Source organism: Homo sapiens, chromosome 16 (assembly GCF_000001405.40).
Source record: "Homo sapiens chromosome 16, GRCh38.p14 Primary Assembly".
NCBI classification, from domain to species: Eukaryota; Metazoa; Chordata; class Mammalia; order Primates; family Hominidae; genus Homo; species Homo sapiens.
Window position 1 is genome coordinate 55478710 of NC_000016.10, and position 27999 is coordinate 55506708.

General features: G+C 49.2%; 1 protein-coding gene across 5 annotated transcripts, besides 1 other annotated feature; it reads left to right on the forward strand.

Moving 5' to 3' along the window:
• Positions 121–27982, forward strand: MMP2 (matrix metallopeptidase 2). 5 transcript variants are annotated; one of them, NM_001302508.1, is made up of 13 exons: positions 121–256; positions 4200–4426; positions 5307–5455; positions 6590–6718; positions 6895–7068; positions 9834–10007; positions 10942–11115; positions 13092–13247; positions 14449–14584; positions 18217–18353; positions 19580–19739; positions 24070–24179; positions 26630–27982. In NM_001302508.1, the coding sequence occupies exons 2-13, from the start codon at positions 4275–4277 to the stop codon at positions 26731–26733; spliced, it is 1755 nt and encodes a 584-aa protein (NP_001289437.1). In that variant the 5' UTR covers positions 121–256; positions 4200–4274; the 3' UTR covers positions 26734–27982. The 5 variants fall into 5 exon arrangements, with proteins under 5 accessions (NP_001289437.1, NP_004521.1, NP_001289439.1 ...); NM_004530.6 differs by lacking the exon at positions 121–256 and adding an exon at positions 489–923; NM_001302510.2 differs by lacking the exon at positions 121–256 and adding an exon at positions 1289–1346.
• Positions 23784–24285: an enhancer, noted in NCBI's record as "H3K4me1 hESC enhancer chr16:55536405-55536906 (GRCh37/hg19 assembly coordinates)". NCBI's record gives its function as "activates a minimal SCP1, AML or CMV promoter by ChIP-STARR-seq in primed H9 embryonic stem cells {active_cell/tissue: H9 hESC(primed)}" and the evidence as "EXISTENCE:reporter gene assay evidence [ECO:0000049][PMID:30033119]".

The window sequence follows — 27999 nt, forward strand, 5'->3', positions numbered from 1 at the left end:
GTTCATCCCAGAATCTCTCTGTCCCTATCCCTAAATATCGAAAATTTCTGTCTCTGACCATCTATCATTGTGGCTGATCATCTGTTTCTGACCATTCCTTCCCGTTCCTGACCCCAGGGAGTGCAGGGTGTCCTAGCCAAGCCGGCGTCCCTCCTAGTAGTACCGCTGCTCTCTAACCTCAGGACGTCAAGGGCCTAGAGCGACAGATGTTTCCCAGCAGGGGGTTCTGAGGCTGTGCGCCCAGATCGCGAGAGAGGCAAGTGGGGTGACGAGGTCGTGCACTGAGGGTGGACGTAGAGGCCAGGAGTAGCAGGCGGCCGGGGAAAAGAGGTGGAGAAAGGAAAAAAGAGGAGAAAAGTGGAGGAGGGCGAGTAGGGGGGTGGGGCAGAGAGGGGCGGGCCCGAGTGCGCCCCCCGCCCCCAGCCCCGCTCTGCCAGCTCCCTCCCAGCCCAGCCGGCTACATCTGGCGGCTGCCCTCCCTTGTTTCCGCTGCATCCAGACTTCCTCAGGCGGTGGCTGGAGGCTGCGCATCTGGGGCTTTAAACATACAAAGGGATTGCCAGGACCTGCGGCGGCGGCGGCGGCGGCGGGGGCTGGGGCGCGGGGGCCGGACCATGAGCCGCTGAGCCGGGCAAACCCCAGGCCACCGAGCCAGCGGACCCTCGGAGCGCAGCCCTGCGCCGCGGAGCAGGCTCCAACCAGGCGGCGAGGCGGCCACACGCACCGAGCCAGCGACCCCCGGGCGACGCGCGGGGCCAGGGAGCGCTACGATGGAGGCGCTAATGGCCCGGGGCGCGCTCACGGGTCCCCTGAGGGCGCTCTGTCTCCTGGGCTGCCTGCTGAGCCACGCCGCCGCCGCGCCGTCGCCCATCATCAAGTTCCCCGGCGATGTCGCCCCCAAAACGGACAAAGAGTTGGCAGTGGTGAGTTGCTGCGCTGGCCTCAAGGAACCACGTTTAGACAAACTTCGGAGGCAAAGGATGGGGGTGTCTCTCCCCCTGCCCTCGGCGGTGGGCACACAGCGTGGGGGAGGGGCTTCGGTAAACAGCTTGGGGGGTCTTTGGCAAGCTATTGGAGTGATCTCTTGCAAACGGTGGGGGATCTTTTGTAAGCAAAGAAAACCTTTGATAAACAATTTGGCAACCTTCAGCATACAGCAGTGGGGCGAAAAACAAGCCAGAGAGTGGGAGAGGGGTGACCTGGCAAACTACTGGAAAGGGACTCTTATGTAAATAGCGGGGACATCCTCTAGTATCTGGGACATTTGGCGGGGGGGGGGGGCGGTCTTTGTAAACAACTTTTGGACACATCTGGGCAGTTGCTAAGGGCTCTTGCCAAGCGTCTAGGTAAGCCTTTGGCAAACAGCTACAGGGGTCGTTTTTGCTAATGTAGGACTTTGGGAACGGTGCTCTGGCACACAATTTGGGTAAACTTATGCGCGCATAAGGATGGGAGGGAGCTTGGTCAAAGCGGGGCTTGGCAAATTTCTAGGAACCTTCGGCACAGATCCGGAGAGGGACCTTTAAACAAACAGCTCGAGGGGGCCATTTGGGAAGTGATTGGGGCAGGAGGGAAGCAGAGAGCGCATCTTTTTTCTCCTGGCTTAATGGACAAATTGGTCAAGGGCTGGGCCTCGGAAAGTTTCCTCGAACTTCTCCAAAGGGTCGGAGAAAAGAAGGAGAGAGCTGGCCCGGCAGGAGGGAGGAGGAGTGGGGCAGGCGCTGGAGGGCCCGGCGCGTGGGGCGGGGGCGGACTGCGCTCCGCTCGGGTCGGAGAGCGGCCAGAGAGCCCTCCTTCCTGGCTGGGCTCCCAAACCGCGGTTCAGATGTTGTCTTGTGAGCGTGCGCGCGCCTGGCTGGAGGGGCACTGAGCCTGGCCGCAGTGTTGCGTAAGTAGGGCCTGAGGAGAGAGGCAGGCCAGGGACCCATCAAGATGTCCTTTCCAGTCCAGGGGATATCTGCTCCCTTGTTGCTTCAGCCACCCTGCCCTCCAGCCTCCCCCTCAACCTGTCCGGGAGAAGACGCCCATGCCCTCTGGTCACCCTAGGAACTCCTTCAGGAGGTGACAACTACCCTCTCCCAACTCTCACCCTTCCAAACAGCTAGGTCTCAGCCCCCTCTGGATAGATGGGTTGGGAAACCTCCATACATTTTTAGAGGGCTACTTTTTTCAAGGATCTGGAGCTGGCTGGCATAATGATGTGGCTGTTGGGTGGGGGTGAGAGTGGAGCTTTGGGACAATGACAAAGCTACTTGGTTTCCTACACCTTTTCCAGCCAATGGGTCACAGGATGAACCCCTAAATTGGGGTTCAGCCTGGGGGCCACATGGGTTCTTGGCTTGCACAGGAAGGAATTCAAGAGCGAGCCAACAGAGTAAAGTGAAAACAAATTTATTAAGAAGGTAAAGGAATAAAAGGGTGATTATTCCATAGACAGAGCAGGGAATGGGCTGCTGGACTGAGTATACATATGGTTATTTCTTGATTATATGCTAAACAAGGGGTGGATTATTTAAGAGTTTTCCAGAAAAAGGGTGGGGAGTTCCTGGAACCGAGGGTTTCTCTCCCTTTTAGACCATATAGGGTAACTTCTCAATGTTGCTATGGCATTTATAAACTGTCACAGCGCTGGTGGGAGTGTCTAATGTATTTAACATGCTAATACATTATAATTAGCATATAATGAGCAGTGAGGACGACTAGAGGTCACTTTCATTGCAGTCTTGGTTTGGGTGGGCTTTCTCCAGCTTCTTTACTGCATCCTGTTTTATCATAGGGGTCTTTGTGACCCGAACTGTATATGGTGAAATCAGTCCTACCAACCTCCTGTCTCATTCTGTGACTAAGAATGCATGCCTGCCCTCCTGGGAATGAAGCACAGCAGGTCTCAGCCTCATCTTACCCAGCCCCCCACTCAAGATGGAGGTGCCTGGTTTGAACACCTCTGACAAATGGAAGTCTGTGTTGTCCAGAGGCAATGCAGTGGGGGCTTAAGAAGATAACTCTGGACTTAGACCGCTTGGCTTCAAATCAAAGAGTGCATGAACCAACCAGCTGGCCTAGTGATGATGTTAGGCAAGTGACTTCTCAGTTTCTTCATCTGCAAACTGGGAAATTTCCTATCTCAGGGTTAAAAGAGAGGTAATCTTAGGTGCTTACCTAGCACATGGTAAGTACTCAATAAGCACTAGCCATTATTCTATTATATTATTATTATTGTTATGTCCTCCATTTCCCCTTTCCTAACTACTTCCAACAAGGCTAGGACCGTTGTCAGAAGATCTCCTGGCTCCTTTCAACATTCTAACACAGTACTTATCACATACTTCATTTTGTTTTATTTGGGATCTATCAGCCTCCCTGCTAGGATTTGAACCTTAGAGACAGAATTGTCTATCTTTTTCACCTGTTTTTCCTCAGCAGTAGCACTGGGCTTGGTACATGGTAGGTATTAAAAAGTATTTGTTGAATAAATAAATGAGTCGGTTGCTCCCTGAACCTCTGCAGGGACCTGCTCAGTTTGGGCCTCAGTTTGGGCAGGGCCAGTTGTATGACTCATGAAGGACAGGACTACTTTCTTTTTGCAAATGGCTGATTCAGGATTTAAACCCAGGTCTGTCTACTGCCAGAGCCCATGCACATAGTCCTTGAATCTCTTTAGAAGAAAACAGGAGGAAAAAAGTCCCCAAGTCACCAGCCGCAAGGTAGATAAATGAGTTGATAGAGGTAAAGGAAGGATGCTGGAGTATAATGATTCCATATCACAGCCTCTGGAGCCAGATTGCTTTGTCCCAAATCCAGATCTACCATTTGTGAACTGTGTGATCGTAAGCAAGTTTCTTAACCTCTCTGTGCTTCAGTTTCCTCCTCTGTATAATAGGGTTAGTATATCTACATTACAGAGTTTTGAGCATTAAATGAGTTAACATATTCTGACTTTAGTGCCTGGACATATAGTCAGCACCCAGCACCAACAAGTGGTAGCCATGCTCTCTATAGCTGTATGTCCTGTCGCTCAACTAATGGGTGACCGTGCTGGTTTGGGAACCCAGTACTCCACCCAGTGCTCTGGGACCCCTGGCTTATTTCCTGTCTGGACTATGGCACTGGGTTGGGGGGCTGATTGCTACAGCCTGCTTTGGTCAGTACTGTGCCATCCTAATGTGGCTAATTGCCTTGGGGGTGTGCATTTCTTTCAGCAATACCTGAACACCTTCTATGGCTGCCCCAAGGAGAGCTGCAACCTGTTTGTGCTGAAGGACACACTAAAGAAGATGCAGAAGTTCTTTGGACTGCCCCAGACAGGTGATCTTGACCAGAATACCATCGAGACCATGCGGAAGCCACGCTGCGGCAACCCAGATGTGGCCAACTACAACTTCTTCCCTCGCAAGCCCAAGTGGGACAAGAACCAGATCACATACAGGTGCCGGGGCAGGGCTTGGGGAGGCAGGGCCATGGGGCTGAGGGACACGAGTCTCCTTGACCCATGCATTCTCTCCACTCAGGGGATCCATGAGGTGTCTTTTGTGAAGGCTTGACATCTTAGGGAGTTTCAATACACAGTTCTTAGAAAATGAAGTCAGACAGACTTGAGTTTCATACTTGCTGGCCATGAGACATTGGGTTACTTTTCAGTGCTGTGAATGTTGGCTTTCCAATCTACAAAATGGGGCTTAAAAAATGCCCTTATATGGTATGTTGGGGAACTAAGCTAGGCTGAACTAATACAAACGGCTTCTATGATTTTTGACACAGAGCAAGAGTGTAGTAATGCTAGTCATTGTTATTGTTTTTAGATGAGGTCATTGGGATGGGCAGAAGGAACGTGATGATTGGTAGCTAATTGGGTTTAGCAGCCCAATTGGGTTATAACTGGTTGCTAATTGGGCCAAGAGCTGTGCTCTGTATGGGTGGTGCTGGGTTCCAATGGTGGGATCTTTGCCCTGTGCCCCATAATGCACTACTTATGGCCCTCCCCCACCAGCCAGAAGTGACAGATGGAACTCCTGAGCTGGGGCCTAAAAATGTTGGCTGGCCTGGGACTCCCTGGGTCTTCAAGGCATTCTGGGAGGGTTGTCCTTGGCAGTGAGCCCTGCCCAGCCTACACACACATACACGCAGGCACATGCTCACATATACATACACATACCTGTGCACCCTTCCCGTGCTTGTGCATATACTTGTATGTTCACATACACACACACACTCAAACTTTTTCATACATCTGTGCACACACACATACTTGCATATACATACACTTATGCACATGCATACACACTCACATGCAGTTCTACCACCTCCAGGATCATTGGCTACACACCTGATCTGGACCCAGAGACAGTGGATGATGCCTTTGCTCGTGCCTTCCAAGTCTGGAGCGATGTGACCCCACTGCGGTTTTCTCGAATCCATGATGGAGAGGCAGACATCATGATCAACTTTGGCCGCTGGGGTAGGCAGAAGATGGGGCAGAAGAGGGGCCAGCAGGGATCAGTGTTGAGACGAGGGGGTGAGATGGACATTAGAGGGGCGTGGGGATCCTAAGGGCGGCTTAGATAGGACAGTAGATGGTGTGGGCCCTGGGGGTGGTTTAGATGGGGGCAGCACAACACGGAGTGGACACTGGAGAGCCACGTTGACATGGGGGCAGATGGTGTGTTGTGGTATAACCTGGAGGCCGTCTAAACCCGAAGCAAGTGGTCTACTGTGCTGTCCAATATGGCAGCCATTAGGCAGAATATACATGGCTGTTTAAATTTAAATTAGTTAAAAATTTTAAATTAGTTTCCTGGTCACACTGGGCACATTTTAAGTGCTCAAAAGACACAGGAGGCTAGTGACTATTGATTTTGGACAGCACAGACAAAGAATATTCCTCTTAATCACAGAAAGCTCTGTTGGATGATGCTGGTAGACACTGAGGAACTGTAGATATATGAGAGTGGTTTGGAAACAGTGGAGCAGTGTAGACACTAGAGGAAGGGTCGTAGAACCTGGGGCCAGGTGGCCATGTGAGTTTATGGTGTGAACACTGCCAGTAGCACAGACATAAAGGTATGTGGTATAGACACTGAGTGGTAAGTGATGAAGGTAAAGAGCAGGGGAAACAATGTAGACAAGTGGGTGGGTGGTACAGGCCTTGGTGACAAGGTGGGCATGAGGATTCATGTTGCAGATATTGGTGATAGTGTGACATGAAGGCAGGATTGTGGTTAAGAGGGCAGTATTGACAGGATGGAGGATGGCATAGACACTGGGGATGATGAAGATGGGGTGAGGACACTAGTGTGGTAATGTGGGTATGTGGTACATATAGTGTCATGGTGGTAGAGTAGACAATGGAGGTAGAGGGTATGGATACTGGGAGTCATGTAAACCTGGGAGAGCAGTGTAGACCATAGGATGGTAACAACCAGGTCAGCAGATCTCTACTGAGCTCCTGTTGACAGTCCTGGATAACCCCACTGGGACAAGGGAAGGGGACAGATGCTGGGTGGGCTGACAGGCTCCACATGTAGATGGGGTGTGGAGGGGTTTCAGGGTCTAGGTGGCACAGCTAGACGCTAAGACCCAGTGTGTGTTTCAGAGCATGGCGATGGATACCCCTTTGACGGTAAGGACGGACTCCTGGCTCATGCCTTCGCCCCAGGCACTGGTGTTGGGGGAGACTCCCATTTTGATGACGATGAGCTATGGACCTTGGGAGAAGGCCAAGGTGAGAAAGGGGCCCTCTGCATGCCCCAGACCTTCTCTCCTGTCCTCTCTCCACTCCATTTGCTTGGACCAGAGAGGTGGGAGGGGAGGAAAGTCACACATCTGGGTGAGTCAGAATCTTGGTCTCCAAAGAAGGCCTGGAGAAGTCCAACCTCCCCCTTCCATGTCACTCTTTAGTGGTCCGTGTGAAGTATGGGAACGCCGATGGGGAGTACTGCAAGTTCCCCTTCTTGTTCAATGGCAAGGAGTACAACAGCTGCACTGATACCGGCCGCAGCGATGGCTTCCTCTGGTGCTCCACCACCTACAACTTTGAGAAGGATGGCAAGTACGGCTTCTGTCCCCATGAAGGTGAGCATCCACTCTAGTCCCCAAGACTTTCCACCCCAAGCCTCCAGCTTCCCGGGCTCCCCAGTGTGCTCTTCCCTCCACACTCTCCAGGACTGGCTGCCACTGCCAGTTAATGAGCATCCCTCCAACGTCCTTCACTCAGTTCCCCCCCATCCTGATCTGAGCCATTGCTGTTTCTCTCCCACCAGTACCATGATGAACGTAGTACTCTAATTAAATCAAGTTGATTTTTTTTAAGTTTCACCATTAGCAATCATTTAGGAAGTCACAGATTTGATTTGCTAATTATTTATTTCTAATATATATTGGAGTGAACTTAGAACTATTACAATGCCCAGTGGTTCTCTCTAGAACCAGTCTTTACACTTCAGTCAAGATTGATACTTCAAGGGCATGAGGAAAGGCTTGCTGGTAGCTGGAAACCTAGCAGTGTGATAGGGAGGCAGGACTCAGACCAGGGCTGGACTCAACCTGGTTTGCGTACTCCAACTGAGGAATTTCAGCTATTGCTCCTGCCTTGGTCCTGATGCTGCCTCTGCTAATGCGTGTGTGTGTGTGTGTGTGTGTGCCTGTGTGTGTGTGTGTGTGTGTGTGTGTGTGTGTGTGTGTGTGTCTGGGCACGGGGGCTATACTATCTGCCTCTCTTGGGCACTGTCTTTTTCTGCCTCCTGTCTAGCTTGTGTCTGCATCTCTGTGTCTTGATAAAGACTTTAGGCTTGACTCAGTATTTGTGTTTGTGTGCTTGTCAGTGCCTGAGATGCAACATTTCAGAGATTTTGAAGCCACATGGGGGAAATCTTTTAAAATGGGGTACAGATATTGACATACACACTCAATCCTTTTTAAAAATATCCTTGACACACTTAATAGTCATAAATCACAAAAAGACAATGTAACTTCATACTCTATGAAGTCATCATATTTGATAATTCTGCAGATTGAAAGCCCAGAAAACCTGGCGAAAATGGAAAAAAGTCTAAAAATTTTTAACACTATCTTCTTTCCCATGTCACAAAGACTCTATAGTCTACATAGACTAAAGACTGTCTTTTTGTCTGTAATTTTATGTCTGTGAATCTCCCTAACCCCACTGTAACTGAAAACTAAGCACCAACCATCTTGACAGAATGAAAGAAACAAAGAGCTAGTTAATTCCCTTCCTGTTTATGCTTTTACTACCAGAGCTAAACTTTATATTAAGTAAGAGTTTAAGCCATTCACCATTAATAAGTCAGACATTTTGAAATAAAAATATTTTTTGTATCTTGCGTTTCCCGGTAGGGATTACATGTGGCGTTAACCCTTCCCTGTGTCACCCCTCTGATAGGAACAGAAAGCTTTGGTGATAGTTAGATGTGGAAACAGCTGTATTTCATAAATTTGGGAAGGGTTATTCCCTGCATTGGACATTAGCCATTTACTTTGTGCTTAGCCAGATGCAAGTACGCACAACACGCACGTGTCTGGGTCTCGAGGCAGAGATTGTTGTTACTCAGCCCCTGCTGATGGCTGAGTCAGTGTCTGATTCTTGCCATCCTTGTCAGGGGAATTTGGGAGGAGACAGGGGCTTCCTGGGTGGTAGAAATGAGAGGTCAGAGGCAGGGGGCTGGCATTGGTCGAAGTTAACGCTTTGCCTTTCTCAACTCTGAGGCCACTAAGGTATCTGGACTCAGTCTTGCCTTTTCTCTAGGTGCCATTGTTTCTGGCATTGCAGGACAAGGTCTTTTGGTAGAGAGGGGAGTGGTGAGGATACAGGGCCTCGAGTTCTGTGGTGGGAGGCCAGGGACTGGGCTCCATTCCGGCCATGGTGGAGTTAACGGGGGCTGGTGAGGTCACCTCTGGCGCCGTTGTGCACAGATGGTCCTTGTTATGGACTTGTGGTTTTGCTGGTTGGCAATTCCAGAGACACCATTTTTTAGCTTTGGGTGGATGAGGGGAGGATGGGGAGAATCCAAGACAGACAGGCCAGGCTCTGAACCCCACTCCCTCCCCCAACTCTCCATTTATGGCCCCTGTCTTGAAGATGTCAAAGTAGGAGCCCAGAGTGTTTAGTAAAAGGGACCTGAAGGCACCACCTCCCTCTCCCTCCCTCCTCCTCTTCATTCTTTCTCTCCTTCCTACAGAGACTGCAACAAGGCCATCCAGGAAGGGGCCTGGGGTTGACAGGAGGTAAAGCAAGCTTTCTGTGTATGCGTGTGCACGCACACACACATATATGAGAGTGACAGACTAAGCAAGAGAGATTGAGATTAGTGTGTTTTGTAGTTTTTAGTTACAACCTTCATTCACTTCTTTCATTTCTGTGACCATGAGCAGTTTGAGAACCATCTTTGTCCTAGCCTTGATTTCTCCACCTATCAAATGGAGAGAGATTCTCGTGGTCCTGCCTGCCATGACTGATATATTCATGTCATACATCATTATTACATGAAATTTGCATGGTACAGGTGTGGACCAGGCAGAATGGACAGTGCCCTTGGGGCTGAGGCAGGGTTCTAGAAGCCCTTGCTGTGTGCCAGGTGTCAATCATTTTGTTGTTGGGTGGTCCACAAGGTCCCACGGGAGGGATTGGGATAACCAGGGAAGCAGGGGTTCTCTCTGGGAGCTCAGAGAAGCAGCTCCTTACCAACCAGTAGAGATGTTTTCTTAATATTTTAACAATGCATCAACTTCACTGGTGTGAACCGGCAGGTGGGCAGCCAGCCAGCCCTGTGCCCATGGAAGCATGTCTCATTCACATCCTTCCCTCTCTCCCCCACCCTTAGCCCTGTTCACCATGGGCGGCAACGCTGAAGGACAGCCCTGCAAGTTTCCATTCCGCTTCCAGGGCACATCCTATGACAGCTGCACCACTGAGGGCCGCACGGATGGCTACCGCTGGTGCGGCACCACTGAGGACTACGACCGCGACAAGAAGTATGGCTTCTGCCCTGAGACCGGTGGGTGCCACTCCCTCTCCCTCCCTCAGGGCCCAGCACCTGCTGTCTGACAAAAAAAAAACCCATAAGACTCCGAGTGCCCACCTCCTTTCCCCAAGACAGGGGTGCTAAGACATCTGTGCGAATGACATCCACACCAAGATGTCCGTGTAGCTAGTCAGGATACTTGTCACCTGGTATGGCCTGGGCACTGAAATCAGAACAGACATTGGGCATCAACAGTTGAATTGGTGACACTTAAATGTCAGGCCTGCTCAGGATCCTCTGACCGACCTGCATCCCTTTTCTCTCAGGCTCTCTGGCAGAGACTTCTCTCTCCTCCTCTCTGACCCTGCAATCTCTCTTCCCTGCCTTTCCTGGTCTGTATCTCCACCTTTTAGTCTGTTTTTTATTAAGAGCTCCGTGCTTTCCTCCCTGTCTCCTTCCTGCCCTCCTCTCTATCCCTCCCTCCTTTCCTTCTTCCCTTCCTCCAACAGGAATTTACTGAGCGCCTGCTTTGTGCAGCATACACAGAGGTTGGTCTCTGCAAAGCCCTGCCCAAGGGGGCTCACAGCTGAGGGGCATGTGCTGGTGCCATCAGCTTCATCCAACTCCCTTTGCCCCTAGCCCATCTGCCCCCTTCCATGGGAGGCTCATTAGAACTCTGGAATCTGGCTTCCTGGGTTTGAATTGCAGCTCTGATACTTCCTAGCAGTGTTGGCTTAGGGAAATTTCATCATCTCTCTGATCTATTTCCCATCCATGAAACGCGGTGCTATTCAGTCCCTCCTGCACAAGGCTGTTGTCAGGGGTGGGTGAGATGAGTCTAAAGATACAGTGCCTGGGACTGAGTCTAACTTAGGTGTGGTTCATTAAGGTCAGCGTCATGTCATTGCTTCCTGGTGGTAGCCTCAGACTCTTTGCTGCGCCTTGACCCGTATCCCTAACCCCACAGCCATGTCCACTGTTGGTGGGAACTCAGAAGGTGCCCCCTGTGTCTTCCCCTTCACTTTCCTGGGCAACAAATATGAGAGCTGCACCAGCGCCGGCCGCAGTGACGGAAAGATGTGGTGTGCGACCACAGCCAACTACGATGATGACCGCAAGTGGGGCTTCTGCCCTGACCAAGGTACGAGGCCCTGGTCATTGGACAGAGACCCTGGACATTGCCCTTGCCCCTAAACTTGCTCCAAAAACCTTCCTGAGACCTCACCCACTTCAAGCATAGACACTGCCCCCCAGACACCCACCTACCCAGACCCGCCCACCTGGGCTGAGACAATGCCCATCTCTGGTGGAGCCAAGGTCCCTGCTTAGATCCTGCCCATCCAGGTGGAGGCACAGCCTCCAAAATCAGACCCTGGTAGACCAGATGCTGCTACTCACCTCCTGGGTAAGAACTGGCCTTCCTGAGGGGTCACTGCTCTTGTCTTCCCCTTCAGCCACCCTCCAGGCGGGCTTGTGACTACCAAAATTGGCTGAATTCTGAGCACAGATTACCAGAGAGACAATTCTCCTAAGAGACATTCCCACTGCACAAAGAGGTGCCTTCAAGGAGCTGGTAGGCAGTAGAAGAAAGGAAAAAAGGAAGAGCCTCATGCTTGATCTGACACCATGGTCCACGCAGCCCTGGGGGAGCCCCCAGAGCCCTCTCTCCCCCATCAGTCAGCACCATCTGTTACCAGGGTGTAAATGGTGGGTCCTCGTCAGTCCTGGGTGCTGAGGATGGAGCTGACTGGGACAGCTCTCTGCCCCCTAGGACTCACAAGCTCAGGGGAGAGAGTGACCAGGAGACAGCTTGTGACCTTACTATGTGCTCAGTGCAGTGAGCAGGGTGCTTGGGGCCCTGTGCCCAATCTAGGCTACAGAGCCCAGGGTTGCAGGGTTGCTTAAAGCTCCCTGATGGCCCATAATGGCCAGGTCAGTGGGCAGGTCCAGGGCCTGTCAGAATTAGGCAAGCCTGTCTTTATGTTGCTTTCATTCTTTTTAATCATCATGAGATGGAACTTGGCAGATGTCAGTGGACAGAGGCTGGCCAAAGGAGGTTTTCTTATCCCCTGCTAAATTCCTTGCTAGGACACAGTCTGATTTTACCAGCTTAAAGGTGGGATTCTCCACCTTCCTGAGTGGTTCAAGTATCCAGAGCTCAGTGGCTCACCCAGGGTGAATATTATAGTCTCCTGGGGCTGCCATGACAAAGTGCCACAAACTGATGGCTTGAAACAAACCCCATGTATTCTTTCATGCTTCTGGAGGCTGGAAGTCTAAAATCACGGCGTCAGTAAGGCCATGTTCCCTCTGAAGGATGCGTCACTCCAGTCTATGCCTCTGTCATGACATGGATGGCCTTCTTCCCCCTCTGCTTGCCTCTCCTCCTTTTTTTTTTTTTTGAGACGGAGTCTTGCTCTTGCCCAGCTGGAGTGCAGTGGCATGATCTCGGCTCACTGCAACCTCTGCCTCCTGGGTTCAAGTGATTCTCCTGCCTATTTCCAAATAAGTTCACATTCACAGGTCCCTAGGGTTAAGACTTGGGCAAATCTTTTCTGGGGGGACGCATTTAACCACAACAGGGTGTGACACAGGTTTTGCTCGCTGGCTGTGGCTCAGCCTGTGCAACCACGCTAAGTGTGAAAGGTTTTTACTGCTTTCACCTGGGCAGAAATGGTGGCAACATGGGGCCAGCCTATCCCCACTCTTCTTACCTCTTCAGAGAGGCTGAGGAGCTGGGTTTGTAGAGCTCATCTTTTATAGAGAGACATAAAAAGCCAGGAAGCAGGATTTTAAAATGAATGGGGTTTTAAGTAGAAAATTCGCAGATACTACTTGTTCTGTTCCTTTATAGCACACCTGTCCTGATACTGACTTGGAAAGAGACAAGAAGACTTTGGCTGACCCCACTTGGAAACAATAGGCACTAATCCCAAAATTGTGTATTGATCCCAGAATTCTCAGGAAAAGAAAAAAAAAATCAATACATGCCGCTTCCAGGGTTCTCAGCCTTACTGTGGGGCTGTCCTCAAAAGTCTGCATCACTGGGTCAGGTCTTGACTTCTCTCTCATCTCTCTTCCTGTCTTTCAACCCTCTCTCCTCCCTGCAACCCTCAGGGTACAGCCTGTTCCTCGTGGCAGCCCACGAGTTTGGCCACGCCATGGGGCTGGAGCACTCCCAAGACCCTGGGGCCCTGATGGCACCCATTTACACCTACACCAAGAACTTCCGTCTGTCCCAGGATGACATCAAGGGCATTCAGGAGCTCTATGGTAAACCTCCGGGCGGGGGTTGGGGGTGGAGGGTGAGGAGGGGGGAGGTCATGTAGCCTGGGATGGAGGCCCAGGGGGTGGGACCAGCAAGATCTCATCCAGCCAGGAGTGCTGGAGACGAGGGCAGGAAATGGGAGTGTTGACCTGGTCTTGGGAAGGCAGAGCAGCTCTCCAAGGGGATACTTGGATAACTCTTCCCTATCCGAACAATGCTAATATCCATGTCACTCTTAGCGCTCCATTTCTGGGTTTCTCCCATTTTCTAGGTGAGTAAGGTCACCTGGTGCAAGGTTACACAGGTTTGAGCAACCCAGTGGAGTTTAGAATCCAGGAGAATAGCCAAGTACAGGACAGAATTTTCCATCATGTGGAATGACCTTAACAATACGGGGGTGGAAGTTTCTAGTTTTCATAATAAGCTTTGATTTTTAGTATGTAGTAGAAACAGAACAACCAGTGCCTTAAGCCAATTATTTATTTATTTATTTATTTATTTATTTATTTATTTATTTATTTATTGTTGGTTCTTACAGTGAGGCTAGAGTTTAAAAAGTCAGTTCATTTTTAAAAAATATTTAATGGTCCAGGTGATATCTGAGCCAGGCCAAAATAGTGAAAGTGGTGCTTGAGTGATGAAGTTTGGGGACTGCTAGACTCAGGAAAAAGCCCAAGGTCTGCCGTGAGGGGTGCTGGGTTCAAATGTGGCCTCTGCCCTTCACTAGCTGCAAGATATTGTGTAAGTCTTTATACCTCTTTGGACTCAGTTTCCTCATCTCTAAAATAATTGCTTATCATGAAAAGTGCCATACTGTCAGTTCTGGACACACCAGCGGCCCCCTGACCGCCCTGACTCTTGTGGGCATAAGAATCTGAGCTTTGGGTTTGAATCCTTGGGCAAGTCACTCAACTTTTCTGGGCCTCAGTTTCCTCACCTGTGAAATGGTGCAATCATGATACCCCACTCCCAGGGCTATAGAGAGGACTGATTTGGGTGATGTCAGTAAAAAGCATATATAAAGTACAAAGGGCCCCAGGACTCCCCAAGTCCAGGCATCTTCTTGTTACCTTACGGAGCTTACACTAAGGCCAGAAGGCGATTTCTTCTGACTCTTAGATGGTTGGGTGGGCACCCCTGGGGGCTCACCCTAGTGGGGAGAACCTCTGGAGCTGCAGAGAGTCTAAGGTCAGGTGTTCTCCCCAGGGGCCTCTCCTGACATTGACCTTGGCACCGGCCCCACCCCCACGCTGGGCCCTGTCACTCCTGAGATCTGCAAACAGGACATTGTATTTGATGGCATCGCTCAGATCCGTGGTGAGATCTTCTTCTTCAAGGACCGGTGAGTGCAGGAGCTTGCTTCTTGTCCTCCTTGTCTCCTGTCCTCTGCTCTTATACCATTATTCTTTTCCCTCACTCTTCGCTGAAGACTCCGCCAAATGCTTCCCAGAATGACCTGAATTAGGCAGTTTCTGCTGTGTATCAAACAACCTCCAGGTTTCAGTGGATTTGCACCCAAGCATTTTGTTTGCTCTCTCATAGTCTGTGGGTCTACTAGTTATCTTGACTTTCAGCTACAGTTTGGGTTCAGGTGTGCTCTGCCTGTTGTTCTCATGGGATTAGCAGCTACTCATGGCAGATGACAGGGTGCAAGAGGCCAAACTGAACTACACAAGCTCATTTAAAGCCTCCACTCACATCTTGTCTGAGAATATTCCACTGCCTGAAATAAGTCACATGGCCAATCCCAAGACCTACCCTAGAGGGTAGTACTGCAAAGTCACATGGAAATGCATATGAATGCATAATCCTAAAATCAAAATGGAGGGAAGAATTGGGAACCATAATTCAGTCTACCACAGGCCTTCTAGAATGGCGTTGCCCTCAAATGGCCAAATTACTCTGTGTATGGGTGGTGAGTGACTGCAGAGTAGAAAGAGGTGGTATTCTTCATGCTATAGATAAAGATCACCACTCAGTTGACTAAAGACTGAGGTTTACCCTAATGCCCTAGTTCCCTGGAGAATGGCAGGCAGTATCTAGGACCTCATTAAAGGGTCTGTCCTTCCATTCTTCTATCATCCATCCATCTACCCATCCATCCATCCATACCTATATCTTTCCATCCATCATCCATCCAGCCAGCCAGCCATCTATTATCCATTATTTATGATCCAGCCATCCATTATTCATTATTCATCCATTTATTCATTCATAGAGTATAGTAGTTGAGAAAATGGACTCTGAAGCCAGATTCTCTGGGTTAGAATTCTGTAACTGCTACTTACTGGTTATGTAATCATAGACAAGTTAATTAAGTATCTTCTTTGTACCTTGGTTTCCTCATTTATAAAATGGGGCTAATATTCCAACCTATCTCCTAGGGCTGTTGTAAGGATTAGATGAACTTAGTGCTGAGAACAAAAACAATGCCTGACACAGAGTAAGTGTATTCATATTAGCTATTGTTATTGACAAATAATTGTTTGGCATCTACTGTGCCAAATACTTTGCTAGGCTTTAGTAGCTGGAGGAGGAAGAATGATGTTCTCGGGACAGTGGGGTGGGGGGCTGCTAGATCAGTGTTCTCAAAGACAGGCGCATGGGCCTCCTATAACAGAACCATCTAGAGTGTGGGTATTAAAAGGTGGGTTTTCTGCCCCAGCTTCAGACCCTCCTGACTGGAACTCTGGGGCTAGGCCCCAGGAATCTGCGTTTTAGCAAATTCTCCCAGTGATTCTGATGCACATTAAAGTTTGTGCATCACAAGTCCAGTTTGAGAAATAGGCATGGAGAACTGACATGGCAAGATGAAAGAAAAGTGATCGCAGAGGTGTTAGGTGCTTTTGTGAGCACGTCCCAGTCAAGGAAGGCTTCACAGATGCAGCAGCATTTGAGCAGAGCCTTCAAAGGAGAAGCAAGAATCTGATGGGGGTGACAAGTTAGGAGGTTCTTTGAGACAGAGGGACCTGCAGAGCCAAGCCATAGTGATGTGAAAGTTTCTGGATTAGCCAGTGAGAATCTGGTGAGGCTAGAAGATGTTCCATAAACTTTCAGGAAGAGTTTCCTCTACTCTAGGCACTGGGCCAAATTCTGGGGTGCAGATGCCTTGCCCTTCACAGGGTCTGCTGGCCAATGGGGAAATGGCAAGAATGCAATGAGAGATGAGACTTAGAATGTAGTGAGAAATCAGGTCCCGTCAGGCCTCGAATGCCCAAATCAGGATATATAACAGCAGATGTCAGCACTGCTCTGCAGTTCCCATTGTAAGGATCTGGCAATGTGCTTCATCTGGAGCTCCTCCCACTAAGAAAGCCCTGACCACACATGCAGATCTCAGATGTGTGGGGCCTAGGAAAGGATGCAGAGCCCAGACCCAGGCTGGAGCCATCCCTGGCCTACCACATCACAGTTTTCTTTCAAAAGGAACGTGATGAGTGTTTAATGGGTTTATTTGATTAACCAGTAAATATTAAACTTCAACCATGAGCAAAAATTGCTGCTAGGCACTGGTGAGGGTGGGGGTCATGAAGGACAGTATTGCAGGGTGATTAAACTCAGACTTTGGAGTCAGATCTGGATATGAATCTTGGTAATAACTAATTTATTTAGTCATTGATGTAGTGATAACTAAGTAATTTGAATCCTAACCTCTCTGAGCTTCATTTGCTAAATAAAAATTGTGACACCTTCCTACGCTAGGATGTTTTTCTGCAAATAACAGAGACCATCCCTCTGCAAACTCAATCCAGCCTAAACAGTAGAGAGAAATTGCTTTCATTTGGTACAAAGTCCAGGGGTAGAGCTGCCTGCAGGGGCAGAGAGAGGGTCAGTGACTTGATGTCTTTGTCCACTGCTAGCCTCTGCACTTACTTCATCCTAAGGCCGGTTCTACCTCATGGTCACAAGAAGGTTACCAGTGGCAGTTGGGGCTCTAATCCCTGCCCTCTCCCAGGAAGCGAGAGAGAAAGAGACACGCACAGATACACACACACAGACCCCCAGATGTGAAATACAAGTCTGTGTGTTCCGTCTTTACACCACTGTAAGTCATATGGCAACTGCTGAATCAGTAACAGTGCTAGGGAATGCTAAACTCTGATTGGCTTAGACCAGTAGTTCTCAAACCTTGGCATGCGTTAGAATCATCTGGAAGGCTTGTTAAAACACAGATTCTGGGCCCCAAGCCCAGAGATTCTTATCTGTAGATCTCTGTAAGGACCCAATCATTTGCATTTCTAATGAGTTCTCAGGTGACGCAGATGCTGCTGGTCAGGAGACTGCACTTTGAGAACCAGTGGCTTATACCAATCAGTATCTACCCCTAGAATGGGGGTAGGGGACACAGGGTCAGAGGAGGTGAAGGCTGGATCATAAATGTGGAGTTTTGTGAAGAAGGATGGTGGGGAAATAGATAATTAATGCTAGGTAGACCATCCAGAGTGCATGCTGTCTTAAAAGATTGTGGGGATTAAATTACAAGGCACATAAATAAAGCACATGGCATTTAGTAGGACCCTCAATAAATGATAACTCTTACTCTTGACAAAGTACACAAATTCATTTCATTTTAATTCAGGAAATACTTGAGTGTCATCAGCTCCTGCCCCAATTGGCCTCTAATCAAATAGGAGAGTTAAGACAAACAGACACTACTGTTCCAGGCACTCAGAGTTGATGATTTTGAGAGGCTTAGAGAGGGAAAACACAATATGGATGGAGGTAGTCAGGGAAGGCTTCCTGGAGGAGGTAGAGGGAGAGAACAGGGTAGGAGGATGTTTCTCAGCTCCAGCAGATTGCAGACAGGAACTCTGCCCGTTCTCCAGTCCTTCTCCAACCTTCCTTTGATCCTGCCTCCCACTCCCATCATGGAATCATCTCTGGGATGTTTCTGGGTGGGTTTGGGGGTGTGTGTGGTTCGAGCTGCAGGGTGACTGAAGATGTGGTTTCCTGTGCCCCCTTGCCTCCTGCCAGGTTCATTTGGCGGACTGTGACGCCACGTGACAAGCCCATGGGGCCCCTGCTGGTGGCCACATTCTGGCCTGAGCTCCCGGAAAAGATTGATGCGGTATACGAGGCCCCACAGGAGGAGAAGGCTGTGTTCTTTGCAGGTGTGTGGGAAGCACCCTTCCTTGGCCCTCAGCTCCACAGGGCTCTGCACCAGGGCTCCTGGGTGTCCCAGGCTCACTCCCCCTCTCAAACCACAGTTCCTATGCACCCGTGGGTGCTCCCTTTCCTTTATGGATTCATTCTTTCAACATTATTTCCTGAAGTGCGCAGCTCCTCTGGGAGATTGGTTCCGACACCCAACATCAGATAGCATTAACCCTCAGTGTACACATTTCATTTTCTTAATTCTTTTCAATCCGTCTCATTTCTTTTCTAGAAGAAAAAAAGTCTCAGTTTAGTGCTGGTGTGTCCCTAACGCCTTTGTAGTGATACAGTCTTTGGCAGGTAACAGTTTTAGTTCGAATGTTTTAAAGAATATTTGTTTTCATTTTTACTTTTAGACATAAATTGGTTTTAACAGAGGCAGTTAGTTATAATAGTGTGGAGTTTCAAATCAGGACAGAAACGGATTATTCAGTAACTGATATTTTGACAGTCAAAAAACATTTTTTAATAAATTTATTTTTAAAGATTTCAAAATGAATTCACTGAAAGCAGAATGTTAAGTAAATAATAGTACAGGGAGCCCCTAGAAGTGGTAGAAATCATCAAGGTGAGGTCTGTATGGCTAAGGTTTACTCATTTAACATTTATTGGAGCATTTCCATGCGCTGGGCTTTGCCATACCCTGGGGATACAAGCTCTGCCTTCGCGATGCTCACAAACCACTCAGGGAGACAGACAGCTGGGCTCTTATGAGGGGTAAAGAAGGATTTAGGAGGTCCCTGTCCTGGTCTGAGGTGGGATCCTAGAGAAGATAAAGGCTCAGCCAAGACTATTGTCTCCACCACCTGGCTCCCACCTCCCCCAATCCACCGTAATCATGGGTCCCGGAGAGGACAACTGCTGGCTCCTAGGGCACCTTTTTGCAAATTAGCAAAAGGTGCCTCTTTATGACAGCAAGGCCCTTAGAGTGCACGACTTGGTGAGCAGAGTGTGAGCTGGATTTATCCCCCAACTCATGTCCTTGACCAGGCACCTTCTGTAATTGACTTCTAAAGCCCTCTGTGTGAGCCCTGATTCTGGGCACTGCAACCAGGAGTGAGCAGGAAGTTGCACTCTGTTGGGAATGGCTGCAGTGGGGCCCGTGGACAGACAGATGATGGGAGGAACAGGCTGGCCTAGGGCATGTCAGCACCAGCCAACACACCCTTTGCTTCCACCCCAGGGAATGAATACTGGATCTACTCAGCCAGCACCCTGGAGCGAGGGTACCCCAAGCCACTGACCAGCCTGGGACTGCCCCCTGATGTCCAGCGAGTGGATGCCGCCTTTAACTGGAGCAAAAACAAGAAGACATACATCTTTGCTGGAGACAAATTCTGGAGGTAAGGGAGGGCGGTGGGTAGGACAGCAGCACAGTTGGCTGCGAGAGACAGAGAAGCCGCCCTGAGGCTTCAAGCCTCCTGGGCTGAGTTCAGAGGTTGGTGGGCTCTGGATGCCCTCTCTCTGGTATCTAACCTCTTTGGTCTCTGGCACCTCTGAGATGTTGCCAAAGGTGAACCATTCTTGTACACATTGCTGATATAATTCTGGTGGAATATCCTTTCTCTTTGCAGAATTCTTTTGATTGGCCCATGTCTGGTCTGGACCCTCACATTTTGAAATGACTCACTGAAGAAGGGGGTAATAAAAATAAAGATAATAACTGCTCCTATTGACACTATGTGTCAGAGACTGTCCCAAGGGTTCTATGGGATAGGAATTATTATTCCTCCCATTTTACAGATGAGGAAACCTGGGTTCAGAAAGGTTAGGTAACCGTGGCTGGGCACAGTGGCTCACGCCTGTAATCCCAGCACTTTGGGAGGCCAAGATGGGTGGATCACTTGAGCTCAGGAGTTCCAGATCAGCCTGGCCACATGGTGAAACCCCATCTCTACTAAAAATGCAAAAAAATTAGCTGGACATGGTGGTGCATGCCTGCAATCCCAGCTACTAGGGAGACTGAGGCAGGGGAATCACTTAAACCTGGAAGACAGAAGTTGCAGTGAGCTGAGATCATGCCACTGCACTCCAGCCTGGGCAACAGAGTGAGACTCCAACTCAAAAAAAAAAAAAAGAAAAAAGAAAGGTTAAGTAACCAGCTTGGAGTCACATAGCCAGGTAGGGACAGGTTGGGATTTGAACCCTGGCATTCTGTCTCCTGGGAAAACATGTTAGTCTTCACTCTTCACTACTATTCTATACCCGAGATGGTGGAATGGGGGTTCCAAGAGATGGGGGAACATGAAGGCAGTGGACAAAATATGAAGAAGACTTAGAGATGGGTGCACCAGTCATCCATAGAAGCCAGCATCCAAATCAGACCCCATGGAAGGAGCAGGTGCCCTGTGTCATGCTCACAGCAGGCCCGTGGCTGTGGGTGCAGGTTGGCAGGGGAACAATTTGGAAGCAGATGGTTCTGTGCTCCAGGTTATCTACAGGAAAGGGTCCAGTTCTGAGGGGCTATAGTCATGACCAGGGAACCTAATATCCAGGAGTGGCTGGTGAGAGGTAGCCCAAACCTCAGGAGTTTGACTGTAATTCTTCACACTTTCTAGAAAAGGAAACGGAGGTCCAAAGAAATTAAATAACTTGTTCAAGCTATAGAGATATGTGTATTTGCACAAAGCCAGGATTATAGCTACTTCTCTTGTATTCTAACTGAGTACCCCCTCCACTATACCTGCCAGTCCATTTGATTAGTGAGGAAAGAGTGGTCGGGGCACAAAGACTTGTGGTGTGTCTTTCCATCCCCTCCCTCCTGGTATCCCCACATTCCTTCCATGGCTGCCACTGCATCTGGGCCCTACCCAAGAATTTTAGAGGGCACTTCCTGAGGCCTTTGTCTGCCATCCCCAAAACAATCCCGCTTACTTCCTAAGGCCTCTGTCTTCTCCCCCTTCCCTCCTCCCCACTACTCTGCCCCCCAGCTGCCCTGCATTCAGAAACTCTTTATATCCCAGGCCTGCCCATGTCAGGGTGGAATTCCAGACATATTGCTAAGACACTTAGCAACCTAAGCTGATTGATATCTCAAGCCTCAAGAAAGAAAACAGTCAGGCAGGAAACCACAGAGCAGGCTTTCCACCCACCAGCTCCAGACACTAGCCCCAGACAGTGTGCACGCACACGCACACACACACACGCGTACTGCGAATGGCATCTCAGCATTGTAGGAGCCCTGAATCTCCAAGTCTTAGAATTGTGGCTGGTGAGCCGCACAGACTCACAGAAACGTGAATCTTAGAATCCTAAAGCCCTGAAGTTTTCAAATTATGGTGTTGGAAGAACTTTTTAAATCACTTTTCCATGCACTGTATCTATGTAAACATGCAAAAACAGACCTGTTCCTAGCATATAGGAACATGATTGTGTGCGCATGTGCGCATACACACACACACACACACACACACACACACACACACACACACACAGGCATGGAGGTTGTGGCAGTGCCTTGCTGGATTTCCAGGCAGAGTTATTTGCCTCCCAGTCCTTTTCCACACAAGCCCACCTCCCAAAGCCAGAGCCAGGACAGACAGCGTGCTCTACAGAGGAACCACCCTGAGACTTCCTGAAAAGGGACAGAGCTGAAGGGCCTATCAGAAGCTCTGGGCTGGCTTCCAAAGGAGACAGATCTCTATTCCAAGAGAAGTGGTGAATGAGCTTGTGACACTGGCCCTGCCGTGGAGTCTGCAGAGGCCCCAGAGGCATCTTTGCTGGAGAAGGAGAGAGAGCCCCAGAGTGACAGAGGCTGAGCAGCTGTCTTCAGCATGCCAAGAAGAGCTCAGGCCCTGCTTGTAGAAGCTTTCACTAAGCCACAAATATATGTTCCACATCTGCTGTGTGCCAGGCACTTAGCTAGCTGCTGGAGAGACGGGGGTCAAAAAATCATCACACCCTGCCCTCATGTAGTTTATAGTAGAATGAGGGAAAATTATGTAAACACATTTGAATCAGATAATGATGGCTCTCAGTATGGGGCCTCTACCATAGCCCAGCCTGAGGCTATGCAGGTCACCTATATTTCTCAGTTGAGGTAGATACTGTTAGCTCCTTTTCCCAAGTGTGGAAACTGAGGCTAAAGTGGCTCAAGGAAAAGCTGGGACACAAATATCTGTGTTCTTAACACCTGCTATACATGGCAACTTCTACAGCTGCAGAGAAGTACCACATCTTCTGACACCACAGTGCTTGTATTCTTTCTGGATGAAAAGAACTTGGAAGCAAACTAATTCTCTTATCTGAGACTCAGTTTCCTCATCTGTAAAATGGGCTTGACTTCTGCCATCCCCACCTTCTGTGGGTAGAATGAGAAAGAAATGAGGGCCAGTTCAAGTGTGGGACACACATCTCCAAACTATCCTAACGCTAGGGAATGTAGTTTGAGGGCTCAGTGGAGGTGCCTTGGATGGGAGTGTTGGGATTTTGAGCTAGGGAACTTGGTTTTGGTGACCCAGGGCATGAGGAAGCATGCCAGGTTTTGTAAGAATGAGTTTTATGCTGCACCTGGGATTAAGGAAGGCGTTAGTTCTTCGGGGTGATGGCTGAGGGAGAAGTCCCTTTGAGGGAGAAGTCTCCTCTAGAAGGGAGCATATAGGGAAAGCTGCTGTTGGGGTCCAGGGTGGAGGTGGTCAAGGCTGGCTGCAGAAAGGAAGGGAGCCCCCTAGGAGGCACTGTGGAGCAAAAGGTGGCTGCTACCAGGATGGGATGCGAACACAGATTCATCTAGAAACAGCTCCACTTGGGCAAGACTTGTTTACTAGGATATCCATAGCTCCCATAGTGGGAGCTCAGTAAATATTTATGGAATAATGAAGTGGAGAGGCAAAGGAATCAACATGACAGCAGCATTTAAAAAGTTCTCCAAAAATCTTAAAAGACAGAAGGATTGCTAGCCAGGGAGAAGAACATACTAACCGATGCCCAAAGTATTTACCTGAATTAAAGGCGGGGCCCAGGATTGCTGCCGCCGGAACTGAGGTGGCATGTGGCCCACCCTGTGACTAACAGGCCTTGGACTTACACGTACCTTCCACCTTGCATTGTAACCTCACTGCCCCAGCCATGGTCATCTCCCAGGGCAGGGACTGTCATCTCCCTGTGGCAGATGAAGAAGCAGCAATTTTTCCAAGCCATGAAGTGAAAGAATGATGGGGCAGATTCCCATCCCTGGGCTTCTAGTTTAGCACTCCTCGGATTACAGCAGGGATTTGTTTGTAAGGGAGCTAACATTTCTTAAGTACCTACTAAATATTTATGAGACATGGGGATAGAGGCTCTGCATGTGCTGTTTTATTTAATGCATGCATTAAATTAAATACACTAAATTAGACACAACCCCATTTTACAGCTGGTAAAACTGTAGCTGTATGGAAAGTGGTTAACACACTGTTTGGCATGTAGTAAGTGCTTTATAAATGTTAGCAGTAATCATGAGATTGTTTTTATGGGGTCATCCAAAGTCATATAATTAAAAGTGGTAGATCTGAGGCTCAGACTCAGGTCTGATTCCATGCCCTTCCTTCCACTGCAGCTGGCTGCTTCCCTGAAGGGCTAGGTCCAGTTTCCGAGGCCTATCCAGGAGCCATCAGCTGGGTGCTCCCATCCAGGCCAGGGGGGAAGTGTCCTTTAGAGAGGCCCTGCTGGTTCACTGTGTCTGTTTCTTTACAGATACAATGAGGTGAAGAAGAAAATGGATCCTGGCTTCCCCAAGCTCATCGCAGATGCCTGGAATGCCATCCCCGATAACCTGGATGCCGTCGTGGACCTGCAGGGCGGCGGTGAGCCACCCAGGACTGTCTCCGCTTTCTAGGACTCCCCGCCCCTAGCCAGGGCCCAGCTCCTTGCAAATACACACTTCTTTATTGTGCAGGGCAGGCAGGCAGGCGGCGCCCAGGAAAACAAATCAACTCCTTCATCCTAGTGCTGGGAAGGTTTCCAGATCCCTGACCTCTGCTCCTTGGCCTGGCTCCAGGCAGTAAGACCCAGAAAGACTTCTCACAGCTGCAGGGCCTGGAGCCAGGGCAGGGGAGGGCGGAAGGCCTGGGCCAGGGGAGAAGGAACATGGGCTCTGTGCCGTGGATTCATTCTGGGGTTTGATCCAGGCCCATTTGCGTTTTGCAGGAGGCCTGTGACCACCTCCCATTAGCAGAAGGATGGCTCCATTTGAGACAAGGCAAACTTTGTCATGCTCTGTTGCTCATGTGGCAAAGATCCTCCACTCAACCAGTTTGCCCCTGGCCCCCTGCTGATTAAAACACAACCAGTAGCAGCGAGGGATAGAATTTGGAGTTTGAAAATCATACTCTTGAGGAGGCATCTGTGAGCTTTCTAGGGTCCTGGAAATGGGTCCAGTTTGGCTTTTTTTAGAGGAGATTTCAACTAAATTCCACAGATTTTTTTTTTTTTGAGCACCTACTGTATGCTAAGCACAGGCCCTGACCTCCAGTAGCTGAAGGTCTTACATGTCCAAGAAAATGCAGTGTACAATCAGATGCTAGATTAGGAGTTATCTTCAAGAATAAACATCTATTGAGCACCTACTACATGCTAGCATATTAATAGTAAATGAGATTATGTATGTCAGGAGTCACAAACTCCAACAGCTCCATGTGTCAGGCAGGTAGCACAAATGAGTAAAGCAGGCAGGGGCAGACAGTGGGGAACTGTGGAGTCTGTGCGGAATCAGAGCACATGCCTCATTTACAGGAGACACTTTCTTCTCACCTTCAGATAATTATTGGCGGGCAAGATTAGGGGCCTAGGCAGCTGCCATGGTTCACACCTGTCATCCCAGCACTCTGGGAGGCCAAGGCAGGAGAACTGCTTGAGCGCAGGAGTTTGAGACCAGCCTGGGCAACATAGTGAGACTCTATCTCTACAAAAAAATTTTAAAAAACATTAGCTACACATGACGGCGCATACCTGTAGTCCCAGCTACTGGGGAGGGTGAGCAGAGAGGATCGCTTGAGCCCAGGAGTTTAAGGCTGCAGTGAGCCGTGTTCATGCCGCTGCATTCCAGACTGGGTGACAGAGTGAGACCTGGTCTCAAAAAAAAAGAATGGGGCCTGGTGTTGTTAGATATTCTATATTAGATATTCTAGTTTTTTTAAAGGAAGCCAGAAATCTGTACTTCTGTGTGACTTTTTGGATGTTTACATGTTGGCAAGTTATTCAGATTTAAAGACAAAACAAAACAAACTTGTGAGAGTCAAATAAAACCCATCTGTGGGCCTGACAGGACTGGATATATCCTGTTTTGCCACCTCTGGTACATGGAATGTGCTTAGTTTGATGCTTGTGTTAAGTGGAGTTATTGTTTTTAATAATAGCATATGTTATCTGACTTAATGCTCACTGCAAGCCCTAGAAGGTTGATAATCTTTATCCTCATCTTAGAGATGAGCAAACAGGGAATAAAAGAGCTTATTTCACAGCCATTTCCCTTCTTCCACTCCCAGAGGGGGCTCTTCTGGGCTTTTGTTGTGTTTTGGTTTTGTTTTTGTTTTCTTTTCTTCAATCAGCTCAGATTGAAACAATTGAATTTTTTTTTTTTTTTTTTTGAGACAGAGTCTCCCTCTGTCGCCCAGGCTGGAGTGCAGTGGCGCGATCTTGGCTCACTGCAAGCTCCGCCTACTGGGTTCACACCATTCTCCTGCCTCAGCCTCCCGAGTAGCTGGGACTACAGGCGCCTACCACCACGCCCGGCTAATTTTTTGTATTTTTAGTAGAGACGAGGTTTCACCATGTTAGCCAGGATGGTCTTGATCTCCTGACTTCGTGATCTGCCCGTCTCGGCCTCCCAAAGTGCTGGGATTACAGGCGTGAGCCACCGCGCCCCGCCACAGTTGAGTTTTTTTTTTGGCGGGGGGACAAGGTCTTGCTCTATCACCCAGGCTAGAGGCACAATCATAGCTCACTGCAGCCTCGAACTCCTGGGCTTAAGCGACCCTCCCACGTCAGCCTCCTAAGTAGCTTGGACTACAGGAATGTACCACTATACCCAGCTAATTTAAATATGTTTTTCGTAGAAATGGGGGTCTCTCTATGCTGCCCAAGCTGGTCTCGAACTCCTGGGCTCAAGCAATCCTCCTGCCTCAGCCTTTCAAAGCTCTCTTCTCGTTTAAAAGCTTCTTCCCTATGCCAGGCAGAAATTCAAAGTTCCCAGGAACCTTCTGTGTGCCAGAATGTCAGGATAAGGGGGTCACGGTCTCTTCTTTCTCTATCCCAGGTCACAGCTACTTCTTCAAGGGTGCCTATTACCTGAAGCTGGAGAACCAAAGTCTGAAGAGCGTGAAGTTTGGAAGCATCAAATCCGACTGGCTAGGCTGCTGAGCTGGCCCTGGCTCCCACAGGCCCTTCCTCTCCACTGCCTTCGATACACCGGGCCTGGAGAACTAGAGAAGGACCCGGAGGGGCCTGGCAGCCGTGCCTTCAGCTCTACAGCTAATCAGCATTCTCACTCCTACCTGGTAATTTAAGATTCCAGAGAGTGGCTCCTCCCGGTGCCCAAGAATAGATGCTGACTGTACTCCTCCCAGGCGCCCCTTCCCCCTCCAATCCCACCAACCCTCAGAGCCACCCCTAAAGAGATACTTTGATATTTTCAACGCAGCCCTGCTTTGGGCTGCCCTGGTGCTGCCACACTTCAGGCTCTTCTCCTTTCACAACCTTCTGTGGCTCACAGAACCCTTGGAGCCAATGGAGACTGTCTCAAGAGGGCACTGGTGGCCCGACAGCCTGGCACAGGGCAGTGGGACAGGGCATGGCCAGGTGGCCACTCCAGACCCCTGGCTTTTCACTGCTGGCTGCCTTAGAACCTTTCTTACATTAGCAGTTTGCTTTGTATGCACTTTGTTTTTTTCTTTGGGTCTTGTTTTTTTTTTCCACTTAGAAATTGCATTTCCTGACAGAAGGACTCAGGTTGTCTGAAGTCACTGCACAGTGCATCTCAGCCCACATAGTGATGGTTCCCCTGTTCACTCTACTTAGCATGTCCCTACCGAGTCTCTTCTCCACTGGATGGAGGAAAACCAAGCCGTGGCTTCCCGCTCAGCCCTCCCTGCCCCTCCCTTCAACCATTCCCCATGGGAAATGTCAACAAGTATGAATAAAGACACCTACTGAGTGGCCGTGTTTGCCATCTGTTTTAGCAGAGCCTAGACAAGGGCCACAGACCCAGCCAGAAGCGGAAACTTAAAAAGTCCGAATCTCTGCTCCCTGCAGGGCACAGGTGATGGTGTCTGCTGGAAAGGTCAGAGCTTCCAAAGTAAACAGCAAGAGAACCTCAGGGAGAGTAAGCTCTAGTCCCTCTGTCCTGTAGAAAGAGCCCTGAAGAATCAGCAATTTTGTTGCTTTATTGTGGCATCTGTTCGAGGTTTGCTTCCTCTTTAAGTCTGTTTCTTCATTAGCAATCATATCAGTTTTAATGCTACTACTAACAATGAACAGTAACAATAATATCCCCCTCAATTAATAGAGTGCTTTCTATGTGCAAGGCACTTTTCACGTGTCACCTATTTTAACCTTTCCAACCACATAAATAAAAAAGGCCATTATTAGTTGAATCTTATTGATGAAGAGACTGATGGCTCAAGAGAA